Source organism: Homo sapiens, chromosome 6 (genome assembly GCF_000001405.40).
Source record: "Homo sapiens chromosome 6, GRCh38.p14 Primary Assembly".
NCBI classification, from domain to species: Eukaryota; Metazoa; Chordata; class Mammalia; order Primates; family Hominidae; genus Homo; species Homo sapiens.
The window spans coordinates 44,112,530-44,137,881 of NC_000006.12; the positions used below are offsets into that span (position 1 = coordinate 44,112,530).

The 25,352-nt window shown below is 49.5% G+C and overlaps 2 protein-coding genes across 28 annotated transcripts in view, besides 12 other annotated features; one reads left to right on the forward strand and one right to left on the reverse strand.

Annotated features, from left to right (window-relative positions):
- Window positions 922-14,923, reverse strand: MRPL14 (mitochondrial ribosomal protein L14). 6 transcript variants are annotated; one of them, NM_001318767.2, is made up of 3 exons: window positions 14,854-14,923; window positions 4,012-4,100; window positions 922-1,680 (listed from the first exon to the last, which is right to left on the reverse strand). In NM_001318767.2, exons 2-3 carry the CDS (start codon window positions 4,080-4,082, stop codon window positions 1,314-1,316), a joined length of 438 nt encoding a protein of 145 aa, NP_001305696.1. In that variant the 5' UTR covers window positions 4,083-4,100; window positions 14,854-14,923; the 3' UTR covers window positions 922-1,313. The 6 variants fall into 6 exon arrangements, with proteins under 6 accessions (NP_001305696.1, NP_115487.2, NP_001305697.1 ...); NM_032111.4 differs by having other exon boundaries at window positions 14,815-14,923; NM_001318768.2 differs by lacking the exon at window positions 14,854-14,923 and adding an exon at window positions 14,726-14,779.
- Window positions 4,677-4,846: an enhancer, noted in NCBI's record as "experimental_91835 CRE fragment used in MPRA reporter constructs". NCBI's record gives its function as "activates a minimal promoter by MPRAs in K562 erythroleukemia cells, with activity observed for both the introgressed and non-introgressed 6:44085028 variant alleles {active_cell/tissue: K562}" and the evidence as "EXISTENCE:reporter gene assay evidence [ECO:0000049][PMID:34662402]".
- Window positions 7,314-7,483: an enhancer, noted in NCBI's record as "experimental_91840 CRE fragment used in MPRA reporter constructs". NCBI's record gives its function as "activates a minimal promoter by MPRAs in K562 erythroleukemia cells, with activity observed for both the introgressed and non-introgressed 6:44087665 variant alleles {active_cell/tissue: K562}" and the evidence as "EXISTENCE:reporter gene assay evidence [ECO:0000049][PMID:34662402]".
- TMEM63B (transmembrane protein 63B) overlaps window positions 14,104-25,352 on the forward strand; it is a 28,887-nt gene continuing 17,638 nt past the window's right edge. The window contains exons 1-7 of one of the 22 annotated variants that reach the window (XM_017010999.2): window positions 14,104-14,186; window positions 14,392-14,612; window positions 19,688-19,760; window positions 22,032-22,214; window positions 22,488-22,567; window positions 22,799-22,837; window positions 23,820-23,910. In XM_017010999.2, the coding sequence (XP_016866488.1) occupies window positions 19,758-19,760; window positions 22,032-22,214; window positions 22,488-22,567; window positions 22,799-22,837; window positions 23,820-23,910 (396 nt within the window). In that variant the 5' untranslated portion in view covers window positions 14,104-14,186; window positions 14,392-14,612; window positions 19,688-19,757. Of the gene's footprint in view, window positions 14,187-14,382; window positions 14,613-15,024; window positions 15,338-19,687; window positions 19,761-21,890; window positions 22,215-22,487; window positions 22,568-22,798; window positions 22,838-23,819; window positions 23,911-25,352 lie in introns of those variants that run through there. The other 21 variants (XM_047418970.1, XM_047418973.1, XR_001743506.3 and 18 more) reach the window with 21 other exon arrangements.
- Window positions 14,656-14,715: a silencer, noted in NCBI's record as "silent region_17250". NCBI's record gives its function as "represses an Ori minimal core promoter by ATAC-STARR-seq in GM12878 lymphoblastoid cells {active_cell/tissue: GM12878}" and the evidence as "EXISTENCE:reporter gene assay evidence [ECO:0000049][PMID:35858748]".
- Window positions 14,746-14,795: a silencer, noted in NCBI's record as "silent region_17251". NCBI's record gives its function as "represses an Ori minimal core promoter by ATAC-STARR-seq in GM12878 lymphoblastoid cells {active_cell/tissue: GM12878}" and the evidence as "EXISTENCE:reporter gene assay evidence [ECO:0000049][PMID:35858748]".
- Window positions 14,816-15,215: a silencer, noted in NCBI's record as "silent region_17252". NCBI's record gives its function as "represses an Ori minimal core promoter by ATAC-STARR-seq in GM12878 lymphoblastoid cells {active_cell/tissue: GM12878}" and the evidence as "EXISTENCE:reporter gene assay evidence [ECO:0000049][PMID:35858748]".
- Window positions 15,256-15,365: a silencer, noted in NCBI's record as "silent region_17253". NCBI's record gives its function as "represses an Ori minimal core promoter by ATAC-STARR-seq in GM12878 lymphoblastoid cells {active_cell/tissue: GM12878}" and the evidence as "EXISTENCE:reporter gene assay evidence [ECO:0000049][PMID:35858748]".
- Window positions 15,546-15,705: a silencer, noted in NCBI's record as "silent region_17254". NCBI's record gives its function as "represses an Ori minimal core promoter by ATAC-STARR-seq in GM12878 lymphoblastoid cells {active_cell/tissue: GM12878}" and the evidence as "EXISTENCE:reporter gene assay evidence [ECO:0000049][PMID:35858748]".
- Window positions 18,632-18,791: a silencer, noted in NCBI's record as "fragment chr6:44098898-44099057 (GRCh37/hg19 assembly coordinates)". NCBI's record gives its function as "represses an EF-1alpha promoter that drives an FKBP-Casp9 reporter gene in an ReSE screen in K562 erythroleukemia cells {active_cell/tissue: K562}" and the evidence as "EXISTENCE:reporter gene assay evidence [ECO:0000049][PMID:32094911]".
- Window positions 20,636-21,601: an enhancer, noted in NCBI's record as "H3K4me1 hESC enhancer chr6:44100902-44101867 (GRCh37/hg19 assembly coordinates)". NCBI's record gives its function as "activates a minimal SCP1, AML or CMV promoter by ChIP-STARR-seq in naive H9 embryonic stem cells {active_cell/tissue: H9 hESC(naive)}" and the evidence as "EXISTENCE:reporter gene assay evidence [ECO:0000049][PMID:30033119]".
- Window positions 21,024-21,193: an enhancer, noted in NCBI's record as "experimental_91842 CRE fragment used in MPRA reporter constructs". NCBI's record gives its function as "activates a minimal promoter by MPRAs in K562 erythroleukemia cells, with activity observed for the introgressed 6:44101375 variant allele {active_cell/tissue: K562}" and the evidence as "EXISTENCE:reporter gene assay evidence [ECO:0000049][PMID:34662402]".
- Window positions 21,602-22,566: an enhancer, noted in NCBI's record as "H3K4me1 hESC enhancer chr6:44101868-44102832 (GRCh37/hg19 assembly coordinates)". NCBI's record gives its function as "activates a minimal SCP1, AML or CMV promoter by ChIP-STARR-seq in naive H9 embryonic stem cells {active_cell/tissue: H9 hESC(naive)}" and the evidence as "EXISTENCE:reporter gene assay evidence [ECO:0000049][PMID:30033119]".
- Window positions 24,954-25,123: an enhancer, noted in NCBI's record as "experimental_91847 CRE fragment used in MPRA reporter constructs". NCBI's record gives its function as "activates a minimal promoter by MPRAs in K562 erythroleukemia cells, with activity observed for both the introgressed and non-introgressed 6:44105305 variant alleles {active_cell/tissue: K562}" and the evidence as "EXISTENCE:reporter gene assay evidence [ECO:0000049][PMID:34662402]".

The window sequence follows — 25,352 nt, forward strand, 5'->3', positions numbered from 1 at the left end:
CCTTTTACAGGTAAGGAAACTGAGCCACAGAAAAGTAAAATAATTTGCCTACAGTCATTAAGTGGTAGAGTCAGGATTCAAACCCTTACAGTCTGGCTACAAGAGCCTGTGTTCCTAACTATTATCCTACTCTGACTCTCAGAAGCCACTGTGATTAGTTACTCATTTAATGAGTTAACTACCTAAGGTATTCTAAATAAATAAATAAAAAAGGGCCGGGCATAGTGGGTCACACCTGTAATCCCAGCACTTTGGGAAGCCCAGGCAGGTGGATCACAAGGTCAGGAGTTCAAGAACAGCCTAACCAACATGGTGAAACCCTGTCTCTACTAAAAATACAAAAATTAGCCGGGTGTGGTGCTGCATACCTGTAATCCCAGCTACTCAGGAGGCTGAGGCAGGAGAATTGCTTGAACCCGGGAGGCGGAGGTTGCAGTGAGCCAAGATCGTGCCACTGCACTCCAGCCTGGGTGACAGAGCGAGACTCCGTCTCAAAAACGAAAAAAAAAAAAAAAAAAAGAATTTACAAATAAGTTGATGAGGTTCCACTAAAGAAACTAAGGGAGCCTCTAAATCTTCCCATGCAGACCAACAGATGAACGAAAGATAACTGTCACTGAATCACCTGCACAGGCCCAAGATTATGTCATCTGCAAAATTTAAGAATGTATCCATTTCTCCAGCAGTCCAGGAAGGAAGCTCTGCTACTGGGCACAGAGGAGTGTTCCGGCAGACTATCGAGAATAAAGAAAGGATTACTGTCTGGGCTTTACTGCTGCCTAAAAGAAATGTTCACTAGATTAAATCAGCCTCTCTGCTCTTATTCCATGCTAACCCGGTCATCTTTATAACCATTTAAAGCCTCAAGCCCACTAATACAGGAAGAGGATATTTTGGATGAGAAAAATAAAAACAAATATCTTTTGGTTAGAGCCATGGTACATTTATAAATTGGCATTTGGTGTGTACCTCAGTTTTCCAGGGCCTGACAGTCCTGGATGAACTTATAGGGTCCAAACCAGAAAAGCAAGGGCTCAGACCCTGGCACCAAGGCTGCTCCATGTAAAGAATGCTACCCCGTGTGGCCAGACTCGGGTAAGCCACCTTTCAACTGCTTCAGTGTAATTTATTTTCCCACATCCCAGAAAGCTCTGGAAAAACACATAAATGAATACATTTATTCTCTCACAGGATACTACACTGTTACCCAGTGTGAAGGGAGCAGCCATGTGGCTCCCAAGCTCCCTTAGCAAAAGGGTGGTTCTCAGAACTGCTCCATTCACGAGTCCTGCAACCAGAGGCCTGGGCTCAACTCACACAAAGTTCTGAGCAATGGCCAGCACCTTGGAATACTCGCCTTCCCGCTTGCGCAGGCTGGTGGGGATGGGTGTCTTAATTCGTGTCCCCACAGGGTTCCCGTTGTCCTCAATGAGGACCACGTTGTTGGAGTCGAATCTGGGGGTCATTCGGGGGCCAGGCATGCAGTGCCCCACAATGAGCGCCTTTTTCTTCTGTCCCTTGATGGCCAGTAGTATCTGGTCGCCCACCTTGCCCACTCCATTCTTCTTATAGACATGGATGCAGCGAGGAGCCCGATGGTATGGGCTGTTCCCCAGGGCACTGTTGTCCACCACTCGTACCCGCGTCATCTTCTGAATCGCACTCAGACTCCCAGTGGTGCTGGTGGGAGGAAAAAAAAAAGTCTGCAGTCTGTATCTCTTATGGTCAGGGTGCACAGGCCTCTGAGAGGTCAAGGCTAGGGAGAATGTACATGTCAGCAACACACACAGAGCAGAGTGCTGTCCAGGAGCAGCAACAGAAAGTCAGGACTTTGTGAAGACTTATCTGTACCCACAACAGTTTCCTCACAATTGAGAGCTTCTGCTGTTGTGTCAAGGTCTCAATTTGGATGGGTTTTAAAGAGAACCCAATTTTTCTGTGACAATGAACTTCACAGCAGCCATAACTTAAAGCCTTTGCTTTCCAAAAGGACTCTAAGGACTTAAAGGAATCCCTTATGGGCTAGGCCTCACCCACTGCCTATCCTGAAAAACCTGCTTCCCCAGAATACACCATTCCCTAATTTTCTTTTTTTTTGAGACGGAGTCTCGCTCTGTCGCCCAGGCTAGAGTGCGGTGGCGCCATCTCAGCTCACTGCAAGCTCCACCTCCCGGGTTCACACCATTCTCCTGCCTCAGCCTCCCAAGTAGCTAGGAATACATGCGCCTGCTGCCATGCCCAGCTAATTTTTTGTATTTTTTAGTAGAGACAGGGTTTCACCGTGTTAGCCAGGATGGTCTCGATCTCCTGACCTCATGATCCGCCCGCCTCGGCCTCCCAAAGGGCTGAGATTACAGGCGTGAGCCACCGCGCCCGGTCCCCTAATTTTCTTATTTACATGTTGCTGGGAACTAGAAGATATGGGTAAGTTTACTAAGGGAATTCTCTGACACAACATACCAGAAACTGGTAATAAGTCAAGGTAACAATCTTCTGTTTTAATACATTTTTTCTCATTAGAAAAAAAAATTTTAGAGAGTACTTATTGAAGGCAGACAAGGTATTATTAAGCAAGCTGATTACAGTGGGATTCCTATTTTCCTGATGCTAGCACCTGATGCTGGTGTTTCCGCAGGGTAATCCTAGGACCTCTTCTCTCGTTTTTTATGCCTACTCTGGGCAATCTTACCCATTAGCATTGCTGCCAACTAGTAAATTCCATCTCCAGCCCCGCCTCTCTTCTATATTCTAGTTCTATATATTTCCACTCTCCTCAACTCCCTACAACATGCTCTATAGATACTGCAAACTCAGTAGGTCCCAAACTCATCTCACTGCCTCCCCTTGCAAACCTCCGCCTGCTGCTACACTTATCTAGACGATGGCTTCTCCAGCAGTACCAGAAGCCAAGCCATAAACCTCTCTCCACCAACATGAACTGGCCACCAAGTCCTGTTAATATCACCCCCTAAGCACCTATGTCCTTTCTCTCCAATCCCGCCAACAACTTCCTTCATTTAGCAGCTCACTCTCCTACACCAAGACTGTGACATTAGTGTCCTAGTTGGTTCCCATTGCACTTCACTTTGCCAACAAAGAGCTCTCTTTAGAATATAAAAGTGATGCTACTCCCCACCATCTACACTGTCAACAACCTTGTCCCAATTTACCTACCTTCTAAGGCTACACATCCTACCACTCTGGGCAGGAGAACCAGGAACCACTTCCCCAAGCACACCCTGCCTCCCAATTCTCCCTGGAGGCCTAGACAGGATCTGCCCCCATCTCCCTTTTGAGAAGACTGCCTCCACTCTTTCTCCTCCTCTTCCTCCACTAGCAGCTCCTATATGACGCCTTCCAAAGCACTGTACAATCCTCTATTATAATATTCTATCACATTTTCTTAGAGTTACTTATTTTCAAGTTTGCTCCTGTGGCTGACAGTGAGAATTCTTTCAGGACAGAAAGCAACTCTCTTTCATCTCTGTATGGCCAACCCCAGGTGCGGTGCTCAGGAAATGCCTGTGGGATGAGGGCATGACGGGGCCAGGAGGCATGTCTGCCAACAAGCGTGCCTCCTGTGCTCTCCTGGCTTAGCATCTACAAGGAGGGGAGGGTGTCACACTTCTATCATGCTCAAGTTCTTGGTAATAAGCATGTATTATTTTTGTAATTAAAAAAATTCCGTTTTTAAAAGGATTTTAATGCTCTAGGGGAATGATAGGGTTGAGAGATGTCAGATTCACTGTAAGAGTCTTGCAAGGACTGAAGAGTAAAAGCTTCCGCCATATGCCATTCCCCATCACACTTCTAACAGCAACATCACCTCTTTACCTATCCCCCATCCTGTGACCAGACCAACCAGGCCAGCTCAGCCTGATCACTTTAGCTTTCCCCAACCCCATGCCCACCTCCCTGAGTTTTTACTCCTGTTCTAGTCACCGTAATACCCAGCCCTGATAGGAAGCTTACACAAAGACACAGTTTTAAGAACTTAATGGGAAAAGTTACCTGAAACAGTGATGGCTCAGCACTCTGCTTACACAGGTGAAGGGGCCCCAGAGCCCAGTAAAGAAAGCCATGGGATCCCAAGATAGATCCTGCAGGAAAAACGAGAGGGGGAAAAATTGGTTTCTAAGTCAGAGCCCTTAAAGCCAGTTTTCTTTGGGGACTTGTGTGGGAGATGGCACTTCCAGCACAAGATCATTAGTCACAAAATATAAATCTTAGTGGTTAAAGGATACACAGATGATTAGACAGAGCTGTAGCTCCGATTTTGCTGATTCACATTCTAACTCTGGGGTTGGAGAGGGAGAATGGCCCACAACAGCTTCTGCTATAAAAAAATACAACAGCACGGAGAATGCCTTCCTTATTATATCACTTCCACAGGCAGGAGGAAAATATGAGCCCTTGGTTATAAACCCAGCCAGGGACTTCTTCTCGAGTCCTCCATAGAGGAAAAACTGCACACTATTGCCCTTTTTGATATTCATATGCCTTCTGAAACCAGCACTTTAACTCCCTAAAAGAAAGTAAATTATCTAAGCAGCCACCCAAGTTGTCTATCACTACATCACCTTTCCCCCAAATGTAAAGGCCAGAACACCTGTACAGCTCAAGGCCAGCAAAGCAAAGCCAAAGGCTGCTCTTGCCAAGTCAAAGACCAAAGTCTTTATTTGGGTCAGTCTCCCAAACACTGTAACATGGAAAACTGACCTACACCATACTACAGCTGAAAGTGGGCTTTGGGAAACCAACTTGAAGAGTTAGCTAAAAGAGCAAACACCAACCCAAGACTTGTGACTCCAGTTTTCAGAATCTCAACCCTGTTGCTCCCTAGCACTAACAAATATGGAGGCTGCCAGTGCCCTGAAACACCTGAACATCACTTCAGAGCATGCTTCAGAAAGGCCTGTAGCCAGCTGCAAAACACACCTGTTTTTCCACCCAAACGTTTGGCAGCAGAGGTGCCCATTCAAGAGGTCTGCCGAGAAAAGCCTCTACACTGTAGTATTTACACACAGCTTTGCTATGCACAAGTTCAAACCACCTCAGATAAGATTTTATTTAATAAGAATGTTAGGGTGGGGCAGGGGAATCCACTCCTCCCCAGGAATACCTAGACACTCCATACTTTTTTTTCTTTCCTTGAGACAAGTCTTGCTCTGTCACCCATGCTGGAATGTAGTGGTGCAACTGCAGCTCACTGCAGTCCCGAACTCCCCAAGCTCAGGTGATCCTCCCACCTCAGCCTCCCAAGTAGTCAGGACCACAGACATGCACCAGGACGCCTGGCTAATTTTTTGTGTTTTTTTTTTTTTTTTTTTTTTTTTTGTAGAGATGATGGTCTCACTATGTTGCCCAGGCTGGCCTTGAACTCCTGAGTTCATGCAATCCTCCCGCCTCAGCCCCGCAAAGTGCTGGGATTATGGGTGTGAGCCACCCACCACACCTGGCCTTTAAATGCTTATTAACTACAATTTAGCCTCAAATCCCAAACTTACTCCCAAATGTTTTCCTTAAGACAACCCATGAAGCATCAGCCAAAATGTAATTATGATCAGAAAAATCAAATGCAAAAGAAGGCAGCTAATGTATGCAACTACTAACATCTGACACACAGAGAATCACAGACTACCAAATGAGACTAGCTTTACTTTTACTGGTGAGATGACCCTGGACAAGTAACCAAACTGTTGAGCTTTGGTTTACCATCTGTAACACAGGGATACTAATAGTATCTGCCCCCAAGGTAGTTATGAGGATTCAATTAGATAAGCCATGCAAAGCACTTAGCACAGTGCCTGGCACTCATTACCTATTAGCTATCATCATCATGATGTCATATATCATTTTAAAGATTAGAAAATTGATATACAGGCAGATTAAGTGACTTGTGTAGAGTCCCACAATTAGTCAAGGGCAGAAACAGAACTGGATCCAGGTTCAGTCCAAGAGTGTTCCAACCGCACTCTGCAGCCTTGCTCTGCTATACCAAAGCTCATTTCACAGGAGAGCCCTGGGTGTCAAGCAGCTTTAAGGGTCATTTGGCCTCTTTCTGTTTCTTTATTTATGAACACTTATCAAATGGTTACAATGTGTCACACAGCAGGCTAAGTGTCTTACATTACTATCTCATTTAAACCTCATGGCCGGGCACGGTGGCTCACGCCTGTAATCCCAGCACTTTGGGAGGCCGAGGTGGGCAGATCACCTGAGGTCGGGAGTTTGAGGTCAGTCTGACTAACATGGAGAAACCCTGTCTCTACTAAAAATACAAAATTAGCCAGGCGTGGTGGCACATGTCTGTAATCCCAGCTACTCAGGAAGCTGAGGCAGGAGAATCGCTTGAATCCAGGAGGTGGAAGTTGCGGTGAGCCGAGATCGCATCATTGCACTCCAGCCTGGGCAACAAGGGCAAAACTCCGTCTCAAAAATAAATAAATAAAATAAACCTCAAAAAACCCTATGAAATGGGTACAATTATTATTAGCCTCATTGTTATACACAAGGAAATAAAGCCCAGAGAGGTTAAATAACTTGCCCAAGGTCACATGGCTAGGAATGACTAGGCTGAAATATGAACCCCAGTTGTGGGCTTCCTAAACCCATGCTCTTACTCAACAGAGTAAACATGGCAACTTTAATTTAAATATTAATATTTTACAACTATTAAATCATTCTTGTTCCATCAAGAATACTGACGTCAGCTGGGCGCGGTGGCTCATGCCTGTAATCCCAGCACTTTGGGAGGCCAAGGCAGGCGGATCACTTGAGGCCAAGGTCAGGAGTTTGAGACCAGCCTGGCCAACATGGTGAAACCCTTCTCTACTAAAAATACAAAAATAAGCCGGGCATGGTGGCGGCCGCCTGTAGTCCCAGGTACTCAGGAGGCTGAGACAGGAGAATCACTTGAACCCATGAGGCAAAGGTTGCAGTGAGCCAAGGTTGGGCCACTGCACTCCAGCCTGGGCAATACAGTGAGACTCCATCTCAAAAAAAAAAAAGAATACTGACGTCACATGCACATTTTACTCACAGCCAATTCAGTGCTTGCTGAATCAACTGAAATGTAGACACATATCAGGTGAAAATTATTCACTTTAAGTTTTGAAGACAATTTGTAGTGTAGGAGGCAAGAAGAGATCAATACTCAGAGCAATAACTAAAAACTAGCAAAAAACAACAAAACAAAACTTCTGAAAAGCAGAGTCCTTCTGGTCCAGGCTGCAGTTAACTCAAATCCCTGCCAAGCTGTTCCCATCTGATGCTGGCAGGTCCTTGGCTCCTTGAGAGAGAAGAGCGTCCTGAACAACGCCACAGAACCCTCAAGATTAACCCAGCACCACCCACATTCCCTCTCCCGAGAAGTGCAACACCCTGCCTCTCAACACCGCACTGCTTCCTCAAGAACACTGACATTAGTCCAAGAACTGCAGAAGCACTTAAGGGCTTCCCAGAACTTTCTTGACTCAGGTATCATCACAAAGCACCTCCCTACACTCTGTAAGGCTGTCAGTGCACAAACACAAACTCAGGCCTCCTCTCTGCACCTTGCTCACAAGCCATCTCCACAACCAACACTCATCTCTGCCCAGACAAATGTGACCCAGCTCCACAAGCATCTCCTCCACAAAGTCTTGTGTCAAACGGCAGCATCAATTGCTACCCCTCCTGAACACTGGGACATCCTTGTGCCAGTGCAACACTCACTGAACCAATATTCACTATCCAAACACCCACAATGAGTAAATTTGTATACTTTGAGATAAGTCTGATGTCCTTTAACATTCTATTTCTTCCCACTCACTATCCAAAATTCAGAAACCAGATATTCTGACAACATGGCAACTGAACGTGCTACAGGAATTCAGGAGCCACACAGACTTCGATGGTAAGGATTACCTGTACTGCCCTCAAACCCAAGAGTGATATATTCATGTCTCTAGGAAGCACTTCCCAATTCAGTGACTTTTCACTAGCTTTTTAGTGGATCTGATATTGACGTCTAGACCTAAACCCAAAGGACTCAGACATCAAATGGCCAGCAGTTAGCATTCCTATGAACTTGAAAGCACAAAAGAATCAAATATTCACTTATTGTATATATGTCCCTTATCCCTCCAAAAAAACAAACTGTTATACCCTCCTCTTCCACCCTAGCAAAAGACCCCAGCCAGTCCTGATAACAGTAGGAGTGCAATAAATACTTGTTGAATAAAATAAATGAGGTAGCCAGGAGAAAGACAGGTCCCCCATGGCTCTGACGGAGGTAAATCCAGAAACGGCAGAGCTCTTATCTGTATTTTTGGAATCAGGACATGTCAGGCAAACATGCTGTAAGAGAATGATGGTGCTAATCATGGAGGATTAGCCCGTGCTTTGTTTCCAGGCCCCCTGGACTCACCTCCTGGGCCTGGTGCCTACACTGCCTACTATGGAAAATGCCTGATCCCACCACTAAAATAACTGTTTCAGATCAGGGAAGAGCAATGGAGGCAGCAATTTACTTCAAAGCAACTCTGATGGACCCTGATATTATTTCCTAGCATAAATCCACCCTATGGACACAGACCCTGAATCACTTCAGACCTAGTCTATATACAATGGTTGTTTTACAAGCAATGTCACTCTGGATCTTGTGCACAGGAGACTGACTTCAATGACAGTTCCTTCTCTACAACACTCTCACTTAGAGGAGGCCAGGTATTTGGAAAACTTTGGCGCCAGAGATGGCATTTCATGCCACTTCCTGGTCAGCACTAAGTATTACCCTCCTGTTTTAGAATATGAATCACAACTTCTCCTTAAAAAGAGCTGGGGTGGGGGGTGGGAAGAGAGGGTGGGTGGAAGGAAAAGAAAAAACAAATTCATACAATCTAAGCCATGCTAATTTTCCATCTTGCTTTAAGATCTCCCTTCAGTTGTAGAGGCAAGGGAGGACTATGGATTTCAATGGAATATGGGGGAATTGCCATCGCCCTACAGATCCCATTGGAATGTATGCTCTGTGAGAGCAGGGACCAGCCCTTGCTCTGCTCAGTGCCAGACACTCAGTGCCCAGAACTGTGCCTAGCACACCTACAGCTTAGTGACTCTCTGTTAGGTGGACAGAACTGATTTATGACTGGGCATAGTGGCTTACGCCTATAATCCCAACACTTTGGGAGGCCAAGGCGGGCGGATCCCCTGAGGTCAGGAGTTTCAGACCAGCCTGACCAACATAGTGAAACCCCGTCTCTACCAAAAATACAAAAATTAGTGGGGCGTGGTGGCACGTGCCTGTAGTCCCAGCTACAGCCCGGCTGAGGCAGGAGAATCTCTTAAACCTGGGAGGTGGAGGTTGCAGTGAGCCGAGATCACACCACTGCACTCCAGCCTAGGCAACAGAGTAAGACTGTCTCAAAAAAAAAAAAAAAAGAACTGATTTATAATTCAACCTCCAGCTCCAGAGAGGCTCCATTTCAGAGGGGTTGGTGGTTTTTCCTGTGCCCTTCACCCAGGCTCCCAGTGACTTGGGAGAGCCTCATAGGCACAGAGAGCTCTTCCCCCCCCTCTTTTTTTTTTGGAGACGGAGTCCTGCTCTGTCGCCCTGGCTGGAGTACAGTGACGCCATCTCAGCTCACTGCAAGCTCTGCCTCCCGGGTTCACACCATTCTCCTGCCTCAGCCTCCCAAGTAGCTGGGACTACAGGCGCCTGCCACCAACCCCAGCTAATTTTTTGTATTTTCAGTAGAGACGGGGGTTTCACTGTGTTAGCCAGGATGGTCTCGATCTCCTGACCTCGTGATCCGCCTGCCTCGGCCTCCCAAAGTGCTGGGATTACAGGCATGAGCCACCGCGCCCTGCCAGAGAGCTCATTTTTAGCTACTCTGAGTTGGAAGGGCAGACACAAAGAACCTGTACCTCTGATGCTTTGTGGAAAGCTGGAAAGTACCATTACTTTAAGTTTTGAGGATCAGCAAAATATAATTAGTATCACAGATCTATATATAATTACACATTGTTTCTACCTAAACAATTTCAATCTTTAGGTGCCTGGCCGGTTACATTTTAAAGACCTTTCAAGGAAAATGGCCTCTAAGTAGTACTTAGATATGATAGAAAAAGGAGAAAACAAAAAGTTCAGCACAATCACAAATGAGCCTTTAAAGGAGGTTCTGCTAGTATGTAACGGACGGGAAAAGAGACTGAGAAATCAAATGGAAAGCCCAGACACAAAAAGGACAAACTCTGCCAGCGTGAGGATATAAATGTCCTTCTTAATCAAAGTAGGAAAAGCAAAGGCCTGGCAGCTCTAATAAATCAAAAACAAAAAGGAATTCTTGGGACCCTCTGTCCTGTCATGCAAACACAACCCCTCCCACCTCAGGTTTCTCCTCAATCATTCTGGACCAATAAGTACTTTCATTTGTTGCTTACAGACTCATTACTGTTTTTGCTGCCCAACTATTTCCTTTTAGGAAGTTTGGTGTGTGCGTGGTTTTGTAACCTCACACAATAGCCACAATAGCATGTTATAAATCTCAAAGTACTTTCACACAGATCACTTTCTTTGAAGATTTCAGTCCTAGCACCCAATGGAAACAAAGACAAACAGGAAAGACCAACAGTCTGCAAGGGGGCTGAATCTGCTAAGGATTTTAAATAGTTCTGCAGGCTCCACAGAGTTGGAGAAATGAAGACAGAAATGCTAAGATTTGTTGATTGACTCGTCCAAGGTTACAAGGCAACAAGGCCCAGACCAGAGCCCAAGGCTGTTTTTATTAAACACTGCACAATATTTGCACAGTGAAGATGCTGCTTTAGCCACTAATAAGCTACATGGATAAAATAAATGTTCCACATGCAGGGCAAGTACACCTTCTCCTTTGGCAAGGCTGCAACATAATCTTCAAAAAACTCAGGAAACAAAAAGCCATCTCTTCAATAAATATCTGCACTACACTCAGGACAGCCTCGGACCAAAGCTAAAGCTGATTTTGAGTGGTCTGCCAAGGTGTGAGTTCTCACAGCAGCACTATCAATAAGTAAAGTATCCCTCAATAGCATGATCAGCTGTTTCCACCACAGCTACCACTTAGAAAACCCCATTTCTCAACCCCATTTCACAAAGGGAAAACATGTCTAGGGTTCTTGTCCTATATTTGTTTATATAACTTATGCCCCACCTTGTTGCAAAAGTATTTAAATTAGGGCGTGGTGGTTCACACCTGTAATTACACCACTTTGGGAGGCTGAGGGAGGAGGAACACTGGAGCTCAGGGGTTGGGGATTGCAGTGAGCCATAATTTCAGCACAACACTACAGCCTGGGTGACAGAGCGAGACCCTGCCTCAAAAAAAAAGTAAGCAGTAGTACTTAGATAGATCTGACAATTCTCAATTATTCAAGATGGTTTTTCAATGTGTAGATTTGTATATTTTATCTACTCCAGTTTTGCTCCCCCTCCCATCCCTACCTCACAAGTGTACAAACATCTATAATCCAGATATAAATTTGTAATATTCTTCATCTGGTCAAACTCAGGAAAAACTGCACAAGTCAAAGTAAAATTCTACTGAATCATATACATAATTCCCTTCCTATTAGTACCTCCATTGGGCCAGGTTTAGGTGGGCTCCAGGTTTATTAAGATGTCAGATAGGCAGGAGAGTAGTGTGAAAAAGTTAAAGAATGGGGGTGGGAGGGTGCTGCTGATGGAAAGCATATATCTCTTTCACTCCATCCTCCCCTTCTCTCACACCAAGTCTGTGGCCCTGGAATCACCTGTCTGGGTCTCAACGACTCTCTGTCAAGCAGAGATCATATTGGGAAAAGCAAAGAGGTCTGGAAATGGAAGTGCTTTAGCTTCACTCATGTAAGGGATCATTTTAATGTGGACAATCCTTCTCTGAATTATCCAGTACAGACTAGATCTGCAGGATAGTTTGTTTACCAGATCCTGGCCAGGAAGAGCAAGCTCGTTCCCTGATTCTCAGGGCAGCACCATAGGTGCCTCTTTAAGATCATAGCCCTGAAAGTGTTTTCAGTTTAGAGTGGACATGGTAAATTACTTCCTCTCTTTTCTAAGACATAAAAGATTTTTTGAGTTTTTAACAGAGGGCTCTCCTACTCTGAGTGGTTTCACTGGTGAATGGTAAGCTACTTTACTATGACCTTTTTAAATATTCAGCATATTACCTGACCCAGAACAACATTTCTGAGATCTGAACTGCAGTCTTCTCTTGCATACTAGTTGTCACTGTAAATACACATGTAAAATCACACCAGGGTAAGCTACAACCCAGACAAACCATGAGCCTATAAAATAGAAGGCTAAACCATAACCTGCTTTTCGAGACCCCCCCTACAGCCCTAAGAACTATCCAAGTAACCTGACAGTAGGAAAATCCACCTTAGGTGTGCCCAGGCATGATAATCCCAAAGACATAAATGGAGCAAAATAGGTTTTAAAGAATTCTTGCAACACTGAAGACTAGGAGCTAAGAAGAGTCTAAATAACCATGCTCAGTGCCCAACCACCTGAAAAGTGGACTCCAGGGAAATTTTGTTGTTGTTATCCACCCCGCCCCAAGGGAAACATTTTATCTTTAATATTCAGGAGCAATAATAAAATATTTTGGCCACTGTTCTTCAAGGATTCCACAAGGCACTTAATTCTCATGTCAGGCTTTCTGAAATGCTTGCCCTGGAAAGTGTCACTTGATGGCTCACACACTCCTTGAGGATTAGGTGCTGACCCTAATTAGGCACAGGCAGAAATAGTTCAGGAATCCACATGCTCAGATTCATAACTATACTTTTTGTAAAAAATAAAAACATATAAAAAATGCCTTCTGGCTGGACAAGGTGGCTCACGCCTGTAATCCCAGCACTTTGAGAGGCTGAGTTGCGTAGATCGATTGAGGTCAGGGGCTGGAGACCAGCCTGGGCAACATGGTGAAACCCTATCTCTACTAAAAATACAAAAATTAGCCAGGAGTGGTGGCTCGCGCCTGCAGTCCCAGCTACTCGGGAGGCTGAGGCATAAGAATTGCTAGATCCCAGGAGAAGCTGCAGTGAGCTGAGATCGCACTGCTGCACCCAGATCTCCCCAGCCTGGGCAAGAGAGACTGTCTCAAAAAAAAAAAAAAAAAAAAAAAAAAAGGCCTTCTAGTGATCCTCAGAAATCCAAAAACCAGACAACTATGGCTTCCACTTCCATTTTTCAGATATCCATTATAATACTATTTGACCTCAAAGTGAATTTTATTGTTCCACACAAGCAACAGATTACACCAATTTCACAACTCCCAGAATCCAAACCTACAAAGACCCTTCCCACCAAGCACTTTACCAAAAACGGGCTTCATCTCCATCTTCCTTTCTTTCACAGTTGAAAAACTGCCCTTCCTAATTAAGCCAACCAACTTCTTACCTCAATAAAATCCTTGTTTTTCAGTAGCACGTACAGTATTTCCAGTGATGAACAGTGAACTGTCTTTCGTCTCACACAGTAACCTCCGTGAAGAAGATCCACCTTGTTCTTTACTGTATATTCCTGGCATGCTAACTGCATCCTCAGACAATTTTAAGTGACTGAAAACTCAGGCAAAGAAAGGCAAGAGGGCAAATAGAAGGGCACAGGAGACAACGCTTTTCAAATTTTTCTCACTGCGACCTACAGAAACACACTGTAGAACACCTCCTAGTACACTCACACGTGTGTGTACACCTGAAGTGTCAAGAAACAATACCCTAAGTGCAACACCCTCTGATATTTTCTATTTCAAGTGGCCGTGATCTACTAAACTGATTTCCAACTCACCAATAGGATTCAGTTTGAAAAACACTGCAATAAATCAAACCTTACAGTTGCATTCCACAAGCTACTAATGAACTCTTGAAAATCCAGCATACAGCAGAGACGCTGACCAACTACAAGATCCAAACCCCCCAGGTGGGCAGTGTCCTTCTGTTCAGCAGTGGCAGTTCCCCACCACCACCAGCCCTGAGAGTTAATTATCTCCCAAACTCCCAGAGTTTCCCAAGTAGCCTGAGGTGTCTGTCATATGCCCTTTTAACCTCTTTATAAATTCAGTCCCGTCCGTCTCTTACGGTGGCAAAGTTCATTTATCGTCGGCTGTGGAAAGCAATACTTCCTTTTTGTCCCCTCCAGGAACCAGAAATTAAATGACCAGGTTGGTGCCCGTTGTGCCTTTATGATCTATTTGTGTGGGTGATATATAGAAAGAGTCTCAGTCTCTCCCTTCATCTTTCCAGTCTTAATCACTGGTAGATGCAGTCTCTGGTGAAATAAGAAACCAGGGAACCCCCTGGCCTGGGGGAGGGCGCACTCATCAGCGTTGACAGAGTGAAAGCAAAAACTCAATCCTCACACCACAGAGGCGTCTGGCTAACTCATCTCCAGACCTAAGTTGGGAAAGGGGAGGGGAGCGCGGAAAGCGGAGAAGCCGGAGGAGACGCTCCGGAGTGACCAGCGACGGCTGAACGCAGCCCGCCCTCCCCAAGTCGACGCCGCAACCCGGGGAAAGCAGGTGAGCGCCGGCCACGGACTTGGGGGTCGCAGAAGCAGCCCACGGAGAGCGGAAGGGAGGAGGATCCGGGTAAGGGGCCTCCCCTCCCCGTCGGGACCCCCCTCCCCGTCGGGACCCCCCCCTCCCCGTCGGGACCCCTCCCACTGACGCTCTGCCTCCCACTCTGGCCTCTCCTCACTCACCCCGGGGAGTGGGCCTCCCCTACTGCAGAGAAAGGAAGAGGAGAAGGAGGGAATGAGGACTTAACGCCCACCCCTGCCCCCCACCATACCGCTCTCGCCGCCCGGGAAAATCCCGCCGCGGGCCCCACCAGCCAAGCGCCGCCTTCGCCCCACGCGGCCTCTTCCTAGCGCCTGCGCGCCAGGCCCAGCCCGGCGGACGCGATCTGAGAGTGCGCGCGCACCTTGCGTGCGCCGGCGTGCGGGGCGGGACCTGCGGGGCTCCGCCCCCTCCCCCTCCCTCCCCCCGCTCCCCCTCCCCCATACACTGCCGCGGCCGCCGCAGGAGCCCGGAGCTCGAGCCGCCCAGCGACTCCCCCTCCCCCTCCCCCAGCCCCGCCCCGCCCCAACCCGGGGCTCCGAGCCGGAGCCGAGTCTGCGCCTGGGGGTGAGTACGCGACCCCTACCCAGCCCTCGCTCTTTTCTTCGAAGATCCCACCACCACCCAAAGAAAAAACCTGGACTCAGCTGCGCGTCCCCTCCCTTCAACCTCCTGCGGGACCCAGAGGTGCCCGGGCCCGCGGGACCCAGGGGTGGCGCGCGCTGCCCCCAACCCCGCACCATCCCGAGCCAAATGTGAGTCCTCCAACCCCTGCCGGAGGTCCAGATACGCGCCGCCGGCTCTCCCCAGCCCCGGGGAGATCCCAAAGGGTGGGACCCCCGCCCCCGGCCCCCGAGTGCCACTCTTCTCCCACCTGCCCGGTGCAGGTGCGCGTCCCCTGCGCGACCCTCGGGGGTGCCAGCTGCGCCCCGCCTGTCCGCCGCCGTTTGGGGAACTAGCCGCCCCCGCCCCCGAGTTTTGGACCCCGGGGTCGCCAAGTCCGATGCCTTCTGTGCCTTTTATTTTTTCTGCTGCTCCCGGGGGCGAGTACACCCGAAGCCGGTCCGGGGTAAGGGCTCGGGCTCGGGCAAGGGCAGGGTTCGCAGGTGCTGGCACGAGGCCGGCCGCTGCCCCCGGCTCTGGGGACTGACTGGTCGGCGGGCTGGAGAGGCGGCCGGCCCCGGGAGCGTGTCCTCTCCTTGCGCCCCACACAGTGCAGTTCATTCATGAGCCGCCCGGGCCTGCGTTGGAGGGTGCGGTGGGGAAAAGATTCAGACGCGAAACCGAGAGTGGGGCAAAGGCCCTGTTGTGGGGAGGGGGCGCCGCTTTGTCCCTCCTGGCTGTCTTGACCGCCTAAGGCGGACAGTCCCAAAGCTTGGCACCTTGTTCCCCAGAAAAGGAAAGGACGCTTGGGAAGTGGGGAGGAGAGGTCAGAGGGGCTGGCTGCCCTTGGGGCGCTGTGCTGCCCCCTGCCTGGGTCCCCTGGGCAGAGGTCTGGCCGCTCGGGGCAAGCCTGAGCACTCCACCGCCCTGGGGGGCTGGGGCTTGCCTACCCATTACCAGTCTGCAGCAGCCGGGGAGCAATGAGGCTGTGCCCAACACCTGCTGAAGAGGGGCCCATCCTGCCTCCCAGGCCAGGGTGAGGTGGGGAGTGGGAGTGTCAGCCAGGCTTCAAGTGGGGGTGTGCTGGCAGCGTGATTGTCCTCCAGGGCACCAGAGGGTCCAGGCCTTGGCATGCCCCAGGTGGCACATGCTGGGGCCTGCTGTTGGCTCACTCAGTGCAGTCTTGGCCTGTGGGTGGATGGGGACATGGCAAGGCAGAAGGCAGGCAGTGGGTAACTAAGAACCCCCTTGGACATCATTCAAGTTCTCTCCAAGTATAGCAGAGTCTTAGAGACCTGCGTTCAAATTCTAGCTCTACTATTCTTCAGCTGTGTGACCTTGACAAGTTACTTAACCTGTCTGAACCTCAGTTTTCATTAAAAAGTGTTTATGCCTATAATTCCAGCACTTTGGGAGACTGAGGCGGACAGATCACTTGAGGTCAGGAGTTCGAGACCAGCCTGGCCAACATGGTGAAACCCCATCGCTACTAAAAATACAAAAATTAGCCGGGCATGGTGGCACACACCTGTAATCCCAGCTACTCAGGAGGCTGAGGCAGGAGAATGGCTTAAACCTGGGAGGCGGAGGTTGCAGTGAGCCGAGATTGTGGCACTTCACTCCAGCCTGGGTGACAGAGCAAGACTGTCTCAAAAAAAAAAAAAAAAAGAAAGAAAAGAAAAAGAAAAAAAGTGTGGTTACTACCACCTCCTTACAAGTTTTATCATGGGAATCAAACAAGGTAACAGAAGTAAAGAGCTTGGCATCCTTCCTGGTAATTGATCAATAATGGGTTATCATCTCTGAACTTCTGACCCATAACTCTCCCATGCCTCCACCTCCCAGGCTACCACAGATGGATGGGGTATGTTCAAAGAGTGAGAATATTCCCTGTCACTCAGTGGCAGAGTCCCTAACACAGTGTAAACCCTTAGGTCTAAATAAGAAGCCCAACCTGACTGAGGGGCTCTGTTATATTTCTATCATGTTACATTCTGTGTTTTTATCTTATTTTTGTTTTTACCAATTTTCTTTCTCTAAACCAACCCCTTTTATTCCATACCTTATTAATAACAATAACTAATTCCTAGAGCCCATTATATGCCTTGAACTATATTAAGAGCTTTACATAAGTCATCTTGTTTAATCCCCAGAACAACAACACAACTGGATTATTGTCCCATTTTACAAATGAAGAAACTGAGGCCCAGGGTGACTAAGTAATTTTCCCAGGTTAGAAGCCTGGTCTGTCACATCCTAGAGTCTGTGCTTTTAACCACCAGACTATGGTGCCTGTCCCCTATGCCTGCCTCAGAACCTGAAATCACAAACCCAAGGCCTGAGTGGAGGGAAGCTACAAGCAAGAGGAAAGGCAAGCAGGTAGAAATAGGGTATGGCATTTCTCCAGTGTGGTAACTGACTGCCTCCGGCTCCCTGGTGGAAGTGGCTCTTGTTTGCAGATAACTCTGCAAAGTGCAGTGGTTAAGAGCATACACTCGAGCCAGGCAGCCTGGGTCCTTATCTGGGTCTACCACAGACTGGCTGTGTGACCTTGAGCAGCTCATATACTCTCTCTGTATCTCAGTGTCCTCCTGGGGTTGTGATGGGGAGCAAATGAGTTACATTTGTAAAGTGCTTAGAACAGTGCTTGGCACAAAAGAAGAGTTAAATAAACATTTAATACTATTATTTTACTACTTTTTTTTCTTTTTCTGTTTTTCTTTTTTCTTTCCTTTTTTTTTTTAGACACGGTCTCTGTCTGTCGCCCAGGATGGAGTGCAGTGGCATGATCTTGGTTCACTGCAGCCTGGAACTCCCTGGGCTCAGGTGATCTTCGCACCTCAGCTTCCGGAGTAGCTGGGACTACAGACATGCACCAGCATGCCCAGCTAAATTTTGGTGGTGGGGGGTATCTTTTGTAGAGACGGGGTTTTGCTATGTTGCCCAAGCTGGTCTCGAACTCCTGGGCTGACGTGATTCTCCCACCACAGCCTCCCAAAGTGCTGGGATTACAGGTGTGAGCCACCATGCCTGGCTTTTTTTTTTTTTTCCCCTCGAGACAAGGTTTTGCTCTCTTGCCCAGGCTGGAGTGCAGTGGCATGATCATGGCTGACTGCAGCCTCCAACTCCTAGGCTCAAGGTATCTTCCCCACTTGGCCTTCAAAAGTGCTGAGATTACAGGGGTGAGCCACCCCACCCTGCCTACTACTACTTTTTTTTTTGAGATGGAGTCTCACTCTGTCGCCCAGGCTGGAGTGCAGTGGCATGATCTAAGGTCACTGCAACCTCTGCCTCCTGGGTTCAAGTGATTCTCCTGCCTCAGCCTCCCGAGTAGCTGGGACTACAGACGCATGCCACCACACCCAGCTAATTTTTGTATTTTTTTAGTAGAGACGGGGTTTCACTGTGTTGGCCAGGCTGGTCTCGAACTCCTGACCCTGTGATCTGCCCAGCTCGGCCTCCCAAAATGCTGGGATTACAGGTGTGAGCCACCGTGCCTGGCACCTACTACTACTTTTATGCTCACTTGTGGATATATTCTTGCCTTTCTCTCTGAAGTGGGTAGGGGTAGAGTAAGGATATTTGTATCTCTTTGTTACAGATTGGAAGACTGAGACTCAGGTTTCGTAGTAACAGAGCTCGCTTCCATCTTCCCCTCCTCCCCTCAGACCACATGGCCTTGCTTTGATCCAAAGCCCTAACTTAAATCTTGCCCAGTAACTCCACTGAAAAAGCTTATATCACTCCTGTAATCCCAGCACTTTGGGAGGCCGAGGTGGGCAGATCATGAGGTCAAGAGATCGAGACCATCCTGGCCAACATGGTGAAACCCTGTCTCTACTGAAAATACAAAAATTAGCTGGGCGTGGTGGCATGTGTCTGTAGTCCCAGCTACTCAGGAGGCTGAGGCAGGAGAATCCCTTGAACCCAGGAGGCAGAGGTTGCAGTGAGCCAAGATCGCGCCACTGCACTCCACTCTGGTGACAGAGCGAGACTCCGTCTCAAAAAAATACACAACAACCCCCCCAAAAAAAAGCTTATAAGTTATAGCTCTCCAACCCCCACCATGCACACACTCCTTAATGGTAAAATTAAAAAGTTAGCTAGAAGTAAAATGCTCCATCACTCTCTGGACACACCTCAACCAAAACCTCAATATCAGACTAGAGAAACTGGGATATAGCTGGTGCAGGCACCTCGTGGAGTGGAAGAACTGCCACCTCCCATCCCCAAGGTATTCTGCCTCAATGTCTTCCCTCTTCTCAGTTGCTCAGCCCAGTGCTGGCTTTGAGAGCAGCTGCCCTTGATGAAACTCAACCCAGCAACCCCACCCCCACAATTAAAAGCTTGGAGCAGCCCTGTCAACTGGCAGAGCTGCCAGCCCAGGCTCCACCCCTTACCTGTCCTGTCACTGTGCAAGTTGCTTCCCCTACTGGGTTCCTGCTTCCTCCCTGTAAAATGGGGATAGTGATCTGAGTGTGCCCTGCCTTCCTCCCATGCAGGTGGGAAGATTAATGCTGTTGTGGAGGGGAGAGTACTTTGTGACCCCAAGGAGGCGGACAGCAGAGGAGCATGGTGATTTCAGTTACTAACCATCTAGCTAGATCCTGTCCACCCTGCTGGGGCCACTTCATGTAGAAGCTTCCAAAATGCTCTACCTTTCTTTGGTGTGGAGAAGACAGGAGTTGATAGGAATGGTACTCTGGGGCTTGTTCTCATTTCATTCTGATCTGATGGAGCCTTGGAATTCAGAGAGAGAAACAGGCAAGGGGTGGGAATAGAGTGTTGAGATTGCTGGAGTACATTGGAGTTGAGAATTGAGAAAGGGGGACTAGTTAGAGTCCCCCCAACCCAAGATACCTATACCTACCTTTAACCTCCCATAGTGCCCCAGGGTTCTGTGCATCTTATGTTTACATACCCGGGCTCCCAGACACACCCATGTTCACACCCCCACTTCGAAGCCAACAACTCCCTTCATTTCCGTGGACTGCCATGCAGTCACCTAGCTCCTCCTGGACACAGGTCCACACATCAACACACATTTACATACCTGGACACACACATTTCCACAGCACCCACAGGTTCTCTGGCCTGAGAACATTTAATGAGCATTTATAAAGCTTCCATGGTCTGCCGAGTCCTGTTCTAGGAACATCAGAAAAGCACCGTGGTGCCCTGAAAATCATTCTAGCTTTAGAAAGAAGGTGAGCTAGGTTTGAGTCCTAGGTCCCTCATTTTATTAGCAGTGTGACCTTGGGAAAGTTACTTAACCTCTGAGGCCCTGTGCCCCCACCCTAAAATGTCAGTGACACTCAATTCAGGATCGTCGAGGATTAAATGAAATCATGTAATATATTATTCTTGAAACTGAGGGCACTGGACAAATGGTACCCAATACAATTACTAAATTAGTGTGTTTTTAAAGGCAGCTTGGACTGGAAAAGGAAGAGGCATAACACACCAGCACACACTCCTTTAGTCTTCCTAATCCAGGCTTTGCAGAGACTCCCTGGGACCAAGTGAAACACATAAACAACTCCATCCTCCCCTCCATCTGAGGGCTTCTGCCTCTTGCCCTGTGGTTGAAGTGTTAGGAAGAGGCAGGAGAAACCCTCTGAGTCCCCCTGGGGGCTAAGGGATGCTGCTCCCGAAGTTGCAGTCACTGTTTCTAGTTTTGTTGTTCTCTTTGGTTTTCCTTTTTCTTCCCTGAGGACCTCCTCCCCTGCTCCACAGCCCGCCCCCGAGGCAGAGCTTCAGTGTTGTCAGCAGAAGGGTCCCCCAGGGACCCCCCAGTAAAATGGGTGGGGCAGTGCTGCATCTGTTGAGGCCACACTTCTCCGCTATCCTGGGATCCTCCCCAGGGCCCCACTCTGCTCTGTCCCCAAGCACTTTGAGAACCCAGGCACTCAGGCTGGCTGTCCCTTTTCTCCTCCTGCCCACCCCATCCACTCTGAGCATCAATGCAGCCGGCCAGTTGCAGGCAACCAGGCAGCACCCTGGCTGCCCAGGCAGGCTAAGAGGCCCCCACCCACTCCCCCCTCCTTTGCCAGTGGAAAAGCTTGCCGTAGGGCATAGCTTTCCCAGCCTTCCCTGCTTCAGAGGCAGGAGCATGGCACTCTGGGAGTTGTAGTGCTCATAACACTCAGGCGATCCCTGTGCAAATAACTGGAGAGAGGACTATGGTATGGGGAAGAGAAATGAGAATAAGCAGGAGTGGCTGGGGCCAGGCAGGTAACTCAAACCCAGAAGTCCTACTATTTACTTGACTTCCTACTCTGACCCATCGTCGAACCTAAGCCAGTTATATTGAGTTCAAAACTCTAACCAAATGAAATCATGCCATTTTTTCTAATAGGCATAGAAAGAAAAGATCAGGATGAGGCAGCTGGCTCCTGACCCATTCTCCCCTGACGTGGAGACCCCTCATCTTACCCTTGAGTCCTCAGGCCTAAGACCCCTCCCTGTCTTCCCAGGCTCAGCTCCGCCCCCTGCCCTAAGACAGAGAGAATGAGAGTGTGGGGGTGGCGGCGGCAGGGGGGATTTAGATAGATGTTAGAAAATCACAGATACCTTCCAGCTTAATGAAACCAGCCTCCCCAGTCCAGGCCTGGCATCTAGACTGAGTTCCCCAGACCCAGGGTGGGGTCATAGCCAGAGAGCCAGTGAAGGTAAATCCATGTGACTCAACTCTCCCCTCCCTAGGCCCTTATCTCCAGAGGCCAGAGCTTCCATCCACCCAGGCAGCCTGGTGATCTGTCCTCACTGCCCCCTCCCCACGCCCACCCTACTGGGCCATGAAGGGGATGGGGGCAAGCCCAGCTGACTGCTCCACCCTCTGCCCAGGAGGACCATGCGGCAGTAGCAGCCATGCTGCCCTTTCTGCTGGCCACACTGGGCACCACAGCCCTCAACAACAGCAACCCCAAGGACTACTGCTACAGCGCCCGCATCCGCAGCACTGTCCTGCAGGGCCTGCCCTTTGGGGGCGTCCCCACCGTGCTGGCTCTCGACTTCATGTGCTTCCTTGTAAGTGCCTGCTGCCACCCCTTACCTTGGCATCCATGCCCTGTACACACCTGGCAAACACTTCCAGCTCTAACCACTCTCCCACCTGCCCCGGTTTCCCAGGCTTAAGCAGGAGGAGTCCCCATCATCCAGCCCAAGCCTCGCCTTTGACCATTCACCCAAGCCAGGGTCATCCCCTTCTAAGACAAGATTTTGGACCCTCTGCTTCTGCCCCCTAGTCCAGCAGGTGGACAGACAGCCTCTGCACTTGCCAACTGCCCCCTCTTCCCTCAGGCACTGCTGTTCTTATTCTCTATCCTCCGGAAGGTGGCCTGGGACTATGGGCGGCTGGCCTTGGTGACAGATGCAGACAGGTAAGGGTCTGGGACCCTCCCTCTAGCTCTCCACACACACATCTTGTTCCACACTCCTCAGGAATAGGAAGGAGCCAGCCCTCTCTCATTCCCCTTTGCTGGGGGGATGAGAAGGGACTAGCCCCAATGTGGGCATGGGGGCATGAGGGCCCTAAGTTGGGCCCCTGTTCCTCACCTGTCCCCAGGGACTCTCCCCCGCCCCTGCTAACCCTGTCTGTTCTCTGTCCCCAGGCTTCGGCGGCAGGAGAGGGACCGAGTGGAACAGGAATAGTATGTGGGGCACCAGCCCCCTCATTCCCACTAAACCAGCTTTCCCTTTTCTTCTCTCACGCTTCTCTTCTCTTCCTGCCAAGTTGCTGGTTTCTTTTTGCAGTTTTCTCCTCTGCAGGCTCATGTTTCGGATTAACGCAGGCGGTGTGCTTTGCAGAGCAGGGGGCTCCCCAGCTTGTCTCTGCCTCACCTCCCCTTCATCTCTCCCTCTGGCTCCCTGCCTGGGAGAAGTCCCTCCCTGTGTGCCCCTGCCTATGCAGCCCTTGTTGGCTGGAGGGGAGGGGCTGTCCTCCAGGAAATCCTCAGCACAATCACGTAGAGACAAGATTGGGTGTCACCAGCAGCTTCTTGTCCGCTAACAGCTAGTTCTTCATATTCCAGGGTTCCCTGCTCACCTCTTCTGGAGGCCTGGGAGGAGGGCTGCCCAAGGAGCCCCCCAGTCTGGGCTTTTTTGTCACTTTGTCATCTCTGTCTATAGGATTGGAGTTGGAGTTGTAACAGCTGTTGGAGTCAGGGAAGAGGGAGGGGAGCGGAGGGTAGGGTCCCACCCAGGAGACCTTCCAGTCTCCCCAGCCCTTCCAGGTTCTCCTGGTCCATCCTTTCCTCCACCTCCTCATTGCTCTTTGCATAATGTTGGCTCCGTTGCCCGCCCCCGGCCCCTGCCAGTCAACTCTGGAACTGCAGGGCCCTCTGGCATTCTCGCTTCAGCCTCCTTAGGGAGATGATGAAGATTACCTCCTCCCTCAAGTCCCCACTGCCCACCATCAGTGCCCACCTCCGCTCCCACCCTGAGTCCCCCTGAAAGGAAGAGGCATATTTGAGGGAAGCAGGGTAGAGGGCAGTCATTCCTCTCTGCTTCAGCCTCTGCGCTTCCTGTGCCTTCTGTGCCTTCTGTAGCCCTGGAGCTCTGGAGCACTCAGCCCAGCTTCCCGGGGGCTCAGACTCACCAGGCTCTCTGATCTCTCATCTCCCTCACCCCCAGTGTGGCTTCAGCTATGCACGGGGACAGCCATGACCGGTATGAGCGTCTCACCTCTGTCTCCAGCTCCGTTGACTTTGACCAAAGGGACAATGTGAGTGCCCTCCCCCCAAACTTCTTAGTCCCCCACCCCACCCCCAGGGCACATGGGCTGAGAAGTCCCTCACTTTCAGTGATGTGGAGTCAGGGATGCTGGTTTGGCCTCCTCCTCAGCAAAGAAAGTGATTCAACCAAGGAGCCACAGGATGACCCCCCAGGCCCTGAACTCCTGGCTGCTGTCCTCTATGTCACAGTCTCCAAACTAGCACAGCCTTAACATTCATGAATTCCCAACTTTGTTTGCCATAAAGAGTTTTGTGCCCACTTCTGCTGATTAATCCTAAGGCCACCTTTTTTCCGTAGTCATGGTTTTAGAAATAATAATAAGCCCTTGGCTCACGCCTGTAATCCCAGCACTTTGGGAGGCCGAGGCGGGAGGATCACGAGGTCACTAGATGAGACCATCCTGGCTAACACGGTGAAACCCCGTCTCTACTAAAAATACAAAAAATTAGCCAGGCGTGGTGGTGGGCGCCTGTAGTCCCAGCTACTTGGGAGGCTGAGGCAGGAGAATGGCGTGAACGCGGGAGGCGGAGCTTGCAGTGAGCTGAGATGGCGCCACTGCACTCTAGCCTGGGTGACAGAGCGAGACTCCATCTCAAAACAAACAAAAAAAAGAAATAATAAGCCCTCCAGCCCTGCCTAGAAAAACAGAATCTGTCATGTTGCTCGGAGGTTGCAGGTGGGTGGCCCCTGGCCATGTGGGGCCGGTTGACCTGCTTGTGGATTGGAGCTGAGTGGCAGTGGTCCCTTTTAACAAGGCATATGAATGGCAATTCATAACAGACTCCAGACCCCTTTCATATCAGACCTAACACACAGGTGTTACCTGCCTGGCTCTCCATCATTAATTCCATGAGGGTAAGGAGCCTAGTCAGAACTCTAATCCTCAGACATGGTGTGGCCCTGGTCAGTCCCTCTTGGGCTGCAAGTCCTAGGGGTGGCAGCTCTTCCAGCAATTCCAGCAGAAGATGGCCTTCAGCTTCCTGAGTTGGACTCATACTGGTAGGTGGCAAAGTTGTCACATCTGCTAGCCAGAAGTGTCCAGATGGTCCCCAGACTCAGGTGATGTTGGCAACAGGTAGCATGGTCCTGAATCACGGCCGAAAGGCACCTTTCTACCCCATCCTGTGTTATGTCTGGACCTTCTGCTGGATGGAGTTTGGGGCAGGGTGCCCTCTGCGCAGCCCTCCCCTGAATATCCCCATTCTCTGCCTTTACATGCCTGGAGGGTGGAGGGGAGAGATTTTTTTTTTTTTTTAATTTTTCCCTGAGACAGAGTCTTGCTCTGTCGCCCAGGCTAGGGTGCAGTGGTGTGATCTCAGCTCACTGCAACCTCCGCCTCCTGGGTTCAAGCAATTTTCCAGTCTCAGCCTCCCAAGTAACTGGGATTACAGGCGCGCACCACCACACCCAGCTAATTTTTGTATTTTTAGT